Source organism: Homo sapiens, chromosome 2 (genome assembly GCF_000001405.40).
Source record: "Homo sapiens chromosome 2, GRCh38.p14 Primary Assembly".
NCBI classification, from domain to species: domain Eukaryota; kingdom Metazoa; phylum Chordata; class Mammalia; order Primates; family Hominidae; genus Homo; species Homo sapiens.
In genome coordinates, this window is record NC_000002.12 from 216,608,568 (window position 1) to 216,620,038 (window position 11,471).

General features: G+C 46.9%; 1 pseudogene, besides 1 other annotated feature; it reads right to left on the bottom strand.

Annotated features, from left to right (window-relative positions):
• PSMB3P2 (proteasome subunit beta 3 pseudogene 2) lies at nucleotides 1,719-2,479 on the bottom strand (annotated as a pseudogene).
• Nucleotides 6,639-6,933: a silencer, noted in NCBI's record as "tiled region #7775; K562 Repressive non-DNase unmatched - State 23:Low". NCBI's record gives its function as "represses a minimal TATA promoter and a strong SV40 promoter by Sharpr-MPRA in K562 cells {active_cell/tissue: K562}" and the evidence as "EXISTENCE:reporter gene assay evidence [ECO:0000049][PMID:27701403]".

Genomic DNA, 11,471 nt, shown 5'->3' on the forward strand with positions numbered 1-11,471 from the left:
CTGGCTTCTTTACAGCATCCTGTTTTATCAGTGGGGTCTTTATAACCTGTATCTTGTGATACCAGTCCTGTCAACCTCCTATCTCATCCTGTGACTAAGAATGCCTAACCTCTTGAGACCTCTCAGTAGGTCTCAGCATTATTTTACCCAGCCCCCACTCAAGATGGAGTCACTCTTGTTCGAATGCCTCTGACAATTGCAGCAAGCTTTTGGCTTATTCATAGCATCCTTTTTTAAAAAAAAAAATATGTTTATTTATTGATTTTTTTGAGATGGAATCTTGCTCTGTCACCCAGGCTGGAGCACAGTGGCGCAATCTCGGCTCACTGCAACCTCCACCTCCCGGGTTCAAACGATTCTCCTGCCTCAGCCTCCCGAGTAGCTGGGATTATAGGCATGTGCCACCTCACCCTGCTAATTTTTGTATTTTTAGTAGAGATGGGGTTTTGCCATGTTGGCCAGGCTGGTTTCAAACTCCTGACCTTGGGTCATCTGCCTGCCTCGGCCTCCCAAAGTGCTAGTATTACAGGCATGAGCCACCACACCTGGGCTACAGCATCCTTTAAAGTGTAGGACATGCTCCTTCCTGATATGCTTCTGGAAAGCTGAAGATGTTCTCTGATGTCTGATAACCACTATTCACACCTTAACACATCTCCCTCACTCTAGGAGGGGATGTTGTTGCAGACCCTGTCACGTGGTGGACAGCAGACAACACCACACTTTGTCAGCCGGTAGGCAGCTGTGGTTCTGGTTGCACTGGTGTGCCCTGCCTGTGTCTCCCTTTCCTTCGTATACCTCTACTGTTAAAAAAAGGTCTATGCCAGAGGACTCAGTACCAATCCTATATTCACATCTAGCTTATCAGCATGCTGGGTGTGCTTTGTACTACGTTTTTCTTTTCTTTTTTGAATTTCGAATTACTTGCCAAGACTTTCAAATTGAGAGAATTCATGGAAAAGTCTGAGAACTAATTTTGCTTTGAAATGAGCCCCTTTAGCTACCTTGGACCTTCATTCCTGCCAGGCCACAATCAGCTGGAGCTGAGTGGCAGCTGACCCCTTCAGAGGCACAAGAGCTCTCCCCTTGGCACAGTCCCCACCATTCCTGATGGTCAAGAAGCATCTATGTACGAATCCTCACAGCTCTCTGCTTATCTAACTGATTAATGTTCCCTTTCTGGTACATATAGACATCTGAGTTTGCAAACCCTTGTCTAAATTTTGGACTCTTAAGAAGTCCCTAGAGCCAGGCGCAGTGGCTCACGCCTGTAATCCCAACACTTTGGGAAGCCGAGGCAGGTGGATCACCTGAGGTCAGGAGTTCAAGACCAGCTGGCCAACATGGTGAAACACCATCTCTACTAAAAATACAAAAATTAGCTGGGTGTGGTGGCGGGCGCCTGTAATCCCAGCTACTCAGGAGGCTGAGGCAGGAATATCGCTTGACCCCAGGAGGCAGAGATTGCAGTAAGCTGAGATCGTGCCATCGCACTCCAGCCTGGGTGACAATAGTGAAACTCCATCTCAAAAAAAAAAAAAGAAAAAAAGTCCCTAACACAATTCTTCTCTTAACTGGCTGTTGGGATATGCTTTTTTTCATTTCCATCCTCTACTTCAGCCCCTACTCCATTCCTCTGCCCCAATCTCAGCTCAGCTGGCATTAGCATCTGCCCAACATTTTTCTTTTCTTTTCTTTCTTTCTTTTTTTTTTTTTTTTGAAAGAAAGGCAATTTTATTTCAAAAAAAAAAAAAAGTGTGCTCTGGGAACAGGGTTAGTCCATTTGGGCCTTCAGTGTCCTGGTGGTGATTTTGTCCTTCTTGGTGATGTGGATGATGACTCCCATGCCTGACCCTGCACCCCAGTCCACAGCATTCAGCATGGCTGGGGAGATGGTTTCAAACGGGTGTTCTGGATCCATGTTGGGTTCCCAGAGGGACTCACACATTCCGTACATTTGTTCGGCATAGCTGCCATTGACCACAAAGTCATCAGTCACCATGGGGAAGCCGATGAGGTCTAGAGAGCAACTGAAGGGCTTAAAGGTCTTCAGGTCCAAACCAGCAATGACTGGATCAGTGTAGTAGGGGCCAAAATGTTTCTCATACAAGAAGTTGGCCACCATGCTCGTGAAGGTATAAGGTTTGATCTGCTGACCTTCCTTCAACTCATATAGGTTCAGCTGGAACTTGAGGCACTGGGCAACTCTCTGGACGTCAGTGGCAAGCCCGGCCAGACCGATGTACAACCAACCACCCATGGGAAAGATCTCCTGGAAGTCCGTGGTCACCATCTGGGCCTGGATCCCGAAGTGCCTGTCTGCAGCGATGGCCACACGGTTCTTCCCCTTCATGGCCATGATGGCTCCTCCGTTATAGGACATAATAGACATGATTGTGTGGTATACGAGGACCCCTCCATTGCCGGAGCAATTCCAGTAAACCGGGTCTAGCCTTCACTCCTGCCCATCATTTCTGACATTTAGACTCTACATAGAGGGTCCTGAGATTCCAGGCCTTTACTCATCCTGCATCCCCTACCTACTTGGATGAATATTAATATTTACAATAACAGAGAAAAGTTCTCCAGAATGTCTGGGAGGTGAAAGAAGTTAAATAAATGGAAAGTGTTGTTATTGTTTGCACCATACTCTAGTTCTTCCAAGGGCCGGCTTCTAAACCTTTCCTGAACATCTCTTTTCTGATGATGTCTCCTCTACAACTCGAGATCGTGTTCTTGTCACTCTTCCATGGACATGGCCACCGCTTTCTAACTGGCTTCTCTGACCCTCCTTGGTTTCCTTTAGATCCTTTCTGCCAGCATGGTGATCTCCCTGAAATGCAATTTTGTCCATCTTACTCTTTTGCTGAAAACCTCCGATGCTGCTCTATTGTTTCAACATGAGAGAGTTTGAGATTCTCAGTAGGACTTAAGATTTCTCTGTGACTCACCCCCTCCCTACTGCTCCAGCTCCATTGCCTGCCATTCCCAGTTTTACCCTGGAGTTTTCCAGGAACACAAACTACTAGTGGTTGCCACAGCACCCCGAGCTCTGTTGCCTCCATGCCCTTGGCTGTGCCATTCTGATGGCCTGGAAAGCCCTTCCCAGCCTGTGCAATGTCTTCCTCTAAACTCAGTTCCTGAGTCTCTACCACGTCCCATGCTGAGTAGGTGCCCTGCCACACTGCCCTGGGCATCCTTAGCACTGCCCATGCCCTCTAATCCTGCATGGCCTGCCTGCTTTGTTGGGGTGTCAGATTTTTGAAAACAAGAACTGCATCAATCTAGCTCACTTTTACATCCTCAAAACTCAGCCCACAGTAGGAGCTTAATCAATGCTGATGAATAAATAAATCACGTCTCCAATTAGAAAGTAACTTTCCTGGTCCGGTACTATACCCTTCTAAAAAAGAGATGAGTAGGTGAAATTGAACAGAGCTCTTAGCTGTGCAACTCCAAGCTTTGTGAAGCTGGAGGGCTTCTGCTCACTGTTTTCCTAGGGATAGGCTTGGCTAGAAACTCATTTTGTCCCATTCCTTCTCCAGCATTTCACACTGAAGTGGCTTCTATTTTTCTTTCTTTTCTTTTTTTTTTTTGGAGATGGAGTTTCATTCTTGTCATCCGGGTTTGAGTGCAATGGCGCAATCTTGGCTCACTGCAACCTCTGCCTCCCAGGTTCAAGTGATTCTTCTGCCTCAGCCTCCCAAGTAGCTGGGATTACAGGCATGCACCACCACACCTGGCTAATTTTTGTATTATTAGTAGAGACGGGGTTTCACCATGTTTGACAGGCTGGCATTAAGCTCCTGACCTCAGGTAATCTACCCACCTCGGCCTCCCAAAGTGCTGGGATTATAGGCGTGATCCACAGTGCCTGGCCTAGGTTCTGTTTCTCATCACAGTTGCAGTAACCATATGACCTGGACTGTCTGAGGTCAACCATTCTGTCTTTGGCCCTGTTATATGCACCCGCATTGTGAGACCACAGTCCTGATTGAAGGTTTAGGTGCTGTGGCTACCCTGCCCACAGCTCTGGATTCCCAGCCCTTTTGATTCTTTGGAAAAAGGAGATTTGCACAGATCAGATGAGAAGGCCATGGGCAGTATGGGGTGGAGAGAATGATGGCGTGTCAGACATTTATTCAGCACATTGTGTTGTACCAGGCCCTGGTGAGGTTCTGGACACACGATGGGGAGTGCAGCAGACTCATTCCTTATGTGCAAGGAGCTTACAGTTCAGTACAGAAGACACACATTCATCAGAAACTCGCCCAAATCAGTGTGAAGCTGTAACTATGAGAAGTGTGACAGATCCATGGAGTTGGTAGGGAGAGTTTGATGCAGGGAGGACAGGTCTTCCATGGAAAGACAGTTGAAGGAGGAGTTGAATAGTAAAAGGGGAGGGGCTGGAAGAGCTTATGATGGGGGAACTGGCTGTGGAATGAGGCTTGCCAGGAGCAGAGATCCTATGCAAGACCTTGAAGGCAGGTCTAAGGTGTGGGGGCTTTATCTTAAGAGCCATGGGAAGCCACTGAGAGTTTTAAGCAGGGGTATGAGTTGATCACATTTATGTTTGGAAACGAATCTTCTCTGGTTACTATGTGGAAAGCAGATTGGGGAAAAGTCTTGCTTTCTCAATAAGAAGGCAGTGAGCAGAAACCTCTTAGAGTGTTCGCCAGTCATTTCTGCTGCTTCCCTCCCCCTGTAAGCTAAACCAGAGCATGAGGAATTGTCCGTTTGGTTCACTGATGTATCCCAAGCAACTAAAATTGTGCCTGGCATGTAGCAATTGCTTCCAAAATGCATGCATGCTTCAAAAATTCCCAAGAGCTTCAGGGCAGGTTTATGTCAATCTCAGATCCTTGATTGACTAAGTAAGGCATCAGTCATCTTGATTCATTTGACCAACTTGTACCGGGACCTAGCATGTGTCAAGTGGAGGATACAAAGGATCTCATTGCCTCAAAGGGCAGAGACAACAATCAAGGAAGTGGCAAGTGCGGGATAACAATAAGGGCTCAACTGTCCACAGCGCACAATAATGAGTTCATCAAAAATGGATTTGCTGAACGTTTCTTGATCAAGGTCAGGAAAATCTCACTCAGTATCTGTACTACTTCGTTTTCATGCTGCTGATAAAGACATACCCGAGACTGGGAAGAAAAATAGGTTTAATTGGACTTACAGTTCCACATGGCTGGGGAGGCCTCAGAATCATGGCGGGAGGCAAAAGGTACTTCTTTTTATTTATTTATTTTTTTTGAGACGGAATCTCACTTTGTCGCCCAGGCTGGAGTGCGGTGGCGCGATCTCGGCTCACTGCAAGCTCCGCCTCCCGGGTTCACGCCATTCTCCTGCCTCAGCCTCCCGAGTAGCTGGGACTACAGGCGCCCGCCACCATGCCTGGCTAATTTTTTGTATTTTTTTTTTTTAAGGAGAGACGGGGTTTCACTGTGTTAGCCAGGATGGTCTTGATCTCCTGACCTTGTGATCCGCCCACCCCAGCCTCCCAAAGTGCTGGGGCAAAAGGTACTTCTAACATGGCGGCAGCAAGAGACAATGAGGAAGACGCAAAAGCGGAAACCCCTGATAAACCCCTCAGATTTCGTGAGACTTATTCACTATCACGAGAATAGCAGGGGAAAGATGAGGCCTATGATTCAATTACCTCCCCCTGAGTTCCTCCCACAACACGTGGGAATTCTGGGAGATACAATTGAAGTTGAGATTTGAATGGGGACACAGCTAAACCGTATCAGTATCTGCTTTTGGTAAGCTGCATGACCTTGGGCAAGTAGCTTTAACTTCTCAGAGCATCACTTTCCTCACCTGAAAAGTGGAGATGATAAGAGCTGATTTGTAGGGGTTTTTTGAAGATTAAATGAGATCACTTTTGGATATCACTTTGCTAAGGGGCTGGCACATAGTGGACTACCCAGCCATGCCACTGTTCCGTTCCTCCTTCTTCTTTCTCCTCCTTCCTATTCCTCCTCCACTTCCTCTCTTGTTGTTGCTATTACTATTATTATTATTATTATTATTACTAGCTAGCCAGGCTGCCTGTATTTCTCCAGAAAACCATTACCCATGGTTTAAAAAATCCACCCTTGGCCAGGTGCGGTGGCTCACGCCTGTAATCCCAGCACTTTGGGAGGTCGAGGTGGGCGGATCAGGAAGTCAGGAGATCAAGACCATCCTGGCTAACACAGTGAAATCCCGTCTCTACTAAAAATACAAAAAAAAATTAGCCGGGCGTGGTGCTGCACGCCTGTAGTCCCAACTACTCGGGAGGCTGAGGCAGGAGAATGGCGTGAACCTGGGAGGCGGAGCTTGCAGTGAGCCGAGATCGCCCCACTGCACTCCAGCCTGGGTGACAGAGTGAGACTCTGTCTCAAAAAAACAAAAAAGAGAGAAAAGAAAAAATATCCATCCTTGCTTCTACTCTCTTAGAGGCATATAGAGTTGCCCATATGAGAAGCAGCTCAATTACGATTGTTGAATGCATGGCCTCATCACTTTTGGTTTGGAGCTCACAGTTGAAACCATGTTTGTCGCCTCTGTCCTCCATGGATTAATATGTGCAGCCTGTCTCTCCTAATCAGATGTCACTGTGGCCTCTCATGGTATCCCGAGTAGTCACACTCTCCAGAGAATGGCCACCCCTCCAGCCCTTGGGGTACTCTCCTATGGGCCACTTCAAAGGGAGTTTTGCCCACTCCTCATAGCCTGTATTTTAAGTCAAATCATTTGAAATAAGCCCTCCAAACTGGGTGGAAAACCTCCCTAGGCATTTTTATGTGAAGTGGAAACAGAAAATCTTATTTTTATAGAAAGACTCCTCTGGGATCTCACTATCTAGTAGAGAAGACTGGGGCAGCCCTGAGGTTTGTGTTACAAGAAAGGCTTAGGAGGGAAAGGCGTCTAGGCCAGCTTCCTGGGAAGGTCACATAAATTCCTGCTTAGCATTCAGCGTAGGCTGAGGGCACACCTTCAGGAGACAGGAGCAAACAGACTCCAGCTCCTCTTCCATATTCTTCCAAAGCAGTTTTGGTGAGTACCAGGACCCACTGCTGTTGAAATGCACACCCACTCACCTCACAGTGTGGCCCAGAAGGAACCAGAACCCAATAGGAGAGGGGCAGAGTTATAAACAACTCCACTGGCTACATCACACTGTGCTTATCGCTGCAAATATTGACTCTGGAGGATCAAACAAGTGGCCAAAAAAAACAATAATATTTTCCCCAGAGAGAAGGTCTTGTTCCAGACAGCCAGGATCAAGTCGGATGGGCAGGCAGTGACAGATGGCACAATGCAAGGTGAAGGTCTCCATGCAAGGGTGATGCTCTCACGTGGTAGGTCCCCTTGGAACTGCTATGCCCAGGGAAGGAGAGACCAGACTCAGGGTGCCATCAGGTGGTCTTAAAGAACACAGGGCATCCCATATCGTGGATCAGAGTTCTCAAAGTCAAGAGATTGCTCCAAGAGGCAAATGTCCACAGCAAAGATCCGACTCCAGGTTTGGCAAACATTGACCTGAATCCCTTCTTTGGGTCAGACATCCTCCCAGAAACCTCCAAGAACGATTCCACACAATCCTTACAAAAGCCTCATGAACTAGGTGTTCTTACTCCATTTTGCAGATGCAAAAACTGAGGCTCCTAACAGTTTGATGACTTGCAAAACAGGTCACATTGTAGGTTATCTGGCAGAGCTGGGATAAGGACTCCCCAGTAAGTGCCTCTAAAGTGTGCTGTGCTTGTTCTGGTTGTTTCGAGCTCTGAGTTCTTCTGGGTTACAACTCAAATGCCCCTTACACAGTGAAAGTCCAGAGAGCAGGATTCTGGACAAAGAGCAGGAACTGAGGTCATTGATTGGCTAAGCCTCAGGGTTGTTTACTATTTTGTAAAGATGTGGATAGAAATAATTATTGATTCTGCATTCTGGCTCTTGGGCAGAAGGCACAGTTTTGAAAGTATCGGCAAGATGCCCAATGCTGCACCCTAGCCATGCAGTGTGTGTTCCTGTGTGTGTGGGTGGGTGTGTAGGTGTGTGTGTGTGTGTCTAGTGCAATTGTGGTAGAGGTTTCATTGTGACCCTCTAAAACCTCCCTTCTGCCCAACCCCCAGACAATGATACCTTACAGCAAGAGCAAGCTTGTCCAACCTGCGGCCCAGGATGACTTTGAATGCAGTCCAACATAAATTCGTAAATTTTCTTAAAACGTTATGATATTTGTTTGCAATTTTTTTTTTTTTAGTTCACCAGCTATCATTAGTGTTAGTGTATTTTATGTGTGGCTAAAGACAATTCTTCTTCCAATGTGGCCCAGGGAAGCCAAAAGATTGGACACCCCTGCCTTAGAGTCCCTTGGCCACTGATTATTATTATATTATAGCAGAGTCACCTTGGACTCTGCTCTATAGAAAGAAAGGGCTGGGTCACAGAAGGAGGCCTTTAGTGGATCAGGCCTTCAGGGGATCAGGAGGTGGTGGGAGGATGAAGATAATAACAATGGAGGAAAAAGAGTCATAGAACACAGAGAAAGAGAGAGAGAGAGACCAACCCCAAGATAAGCTACAATGTGACAGAGAGAAACAGCAATGTAAGAGATAGAAATAGTTGCACTGTGACAAGTTGCTGAGAGGAGAGGGAGAAACACTTTACAGAAAGTGAGCAAGAGAAGTTTCACTGGAGGCGGCAGTGGGAAAGATTTCAAGTGGGAAGTTGGTGCACATGGAGAGCTGTGGATGAGAGGGGGTGATGGACCGCCGTAGAGAGGACTCGGAGAGATGGTGGGTGCTGGGCACTGTGGGACACCACAGAGACACGGTGCTGCTGCTACCCGTGGCCCCGAGGCCCTGCCAACCACCAGCAGCCTCCAGAAAAGTCGTTTCCAGCAGGCACCTTTGTCCACGGCTGAAGCCCAAGGGGAATGTGGAGTTCAGATGTGGCAGAGAGAAAAAGGATCCCAGAAACACCTTCACGACTGAGGAGACAGAGCTCTGATTTCTAACACCACCTCCAGGAAGTCCTCCCAGCCCACAATTTAGGCTGCAGAACTGCAGAGTTCCCCATGATTCATCTAGAGGCTCATCGTCCCTTTGCGTTGCCTTCATAGCTCTGTAGAATTATAATTAGGGTTATAATTCTCTATAGGCCTTTTTTATTTGTGTTTTTCCTGTGGGCGTGTATTGTTTCTTTTAATAGTCTGTACATTTCTCTACTATTTCTATCTCCTTTGCAGTATTTGGTGCAGGGCTTCTGTTCTTTTGGGTATGTATAACACTTTACTTCTTCCCCTTTAGCAATTTATTCTTTTATGAAATTCCTAGCTTATTACATCTTATGCCATTCTCCTGGCCATGTCCTTTGTTAAAAATCCCCTTCCTACTTGATAGCTCTTTATACTGTCCGTTGCCCTCCATGAGGTGTTTATTATCTCATGAAGGCAGAGCAGAAGTTATTATTCCTCTTTTAAAGATGAATGGACTGAGTCTCAGAGACATGTCTATTACTTAACTTGGCCAAAAGATTAAAATATCTTCTACATTGTGTAGCAATATACAGCATACAAGCTGATTTTAGGTGGTATTAGAAGGAAGATCTCTTATTTATGTATTTTGTCTTTATGTGTAATAGGAAAATAATATATTAAAGCTGTGTTTTGGGGCATATTATTCCTTGCAGTGTTTTTATTTCAATAAAATAAGTGTGACCTGGTGTGGTGGCTCACACCTGTAATCCCAACACTTTGGGAGTCCGAGGTGGGCAGATCACTTGAGGTCAGAAGTTCGAGACCAGCCTGGCTAACATGGTGAAACCCTGTCTCTACTAAAAATACAAAAAATTAGTCGGGCGTGGTGGCAGGCGCCTGTAATCCTAGCTACTTGGTAGGTTAAGGCAGGAGAATCACTTGAATCTGGGAGGTGGAGATTGCAGAGAGCCGAGATCGTGCCACTGTACTCCAGCCCGGGTGACAGTGCGAGACTCAGTCTCAGGAAAAAAAAAAAAACAATTAGCCAGGCATGGTGGCAGGCGCCTGTAATCTCATTTACTTGGGAGGCTGAGACAGGAGAATCGCTTGAACACTGGAGGCAGAGGTTGCAGTGAGCCAAGATCACGCCACTACACTCCAGCTTGGGTGACAGAGCAAGACTTTGTCTCTAAATAAATAAATTAAATGAGTTGATTTAAACATAAATATTAGAGAAATAATAATCGACATGGTTCAAAGATAACGCACAGAGTAGGAAGAAGTTCTTGAATGGCTGATGTTTGGGAAATACTGCTTGATGTGAGCTCTGAACCCAGTGGTGCTGAATAAGTTGTGTTTTCCTGCCTGGCCACAGTCAGGATGAAAAGGCAGGAATGCCAAGTAGAACGGCTGTTGCTTTGGGAGTTACAGGATCATCCAATTGCCCTGAGGGGTGAGCTTCTTTTCCTCAGGCTGCGATTCTTCCACCTATGCAAAAGAGAATCACCGAGGCTGCTCACTTGAAGGCATAGCAGGAGAATGAGAATGGAGTAACCTCTCTACCATAGGCAAAGCCAGGCAGGAGGGTTGTGGGGAGACGGGTGAGGGGACGGGGGCACAGGAATCAGAGAATACCAGTCTCTGCCCTCACTGAGCTTTCAATGTCATCAGGGAGATGGAGGTAGGGCACAAAAAGAAACACAAAGCCACCTAAACTCAGATCTTAGGACAGCTTTGAGGGGGGCTCCACGCCTGGTGTTAGGAGGGAGGAACAGGCTAGATGAAGTTTGCCTCACCTTCAGGAAGGTGCTCTGCAAGGACTGAATCAGGAATCATTTTAGAAGAGAGTCTTCCTCCTACAAAGAACGTTTCCAATCCCCAAACTGCCCTGTAAAGAGTCTCCAAATTGAGGGTTCTACTTTTCCCCTGGGGAGTGATTCTTTGCTACCTCCACCCCGCAATGGCTGTTTCCAAATTGGATTATTTCATCATTTCCTCCTATTCCTCCCCCCATTCCCCCTCTGTCTTGGTAGAGCAGTAACAGGCTCACCACCTGGCTTCTGATTAGAAAAGCGAGGCAGCGGTTTAATCACAGAGCAACAGAGAAACAAGGCCTGTCTGTGAAATTGCAGCATGTGGTCTATACATCCCTCTCCCAGGCCGGAAAGAGTTGGGGAGGTGGAAGGGTGCAGTTCAAACTCATTTCTCACCACCACCCAGCAGCAATTTCATCAGAAATCAAATGTGCCTACAGCAACTTCTTGCTTTCCATGTCATGACTCTCTGCTGAGGCAAGAGATTTCCTGGAAAGGGGAGTTAGGGCAATGAGTGTCTGCTGCATTGAGGGAAGGGAGTGAGGAGACGGGGGAAGGGGAGAGGGCTGTGTGCGCAGCTGGGCACACAGGGTCTGTAGCCTGCATTGCAGTATGCCTCTGCGGGGTGTGTGTGTGTGTGTGCGTGTGTGTGTGTGTGTGTGTGTGTGTGTCTGTAGTGT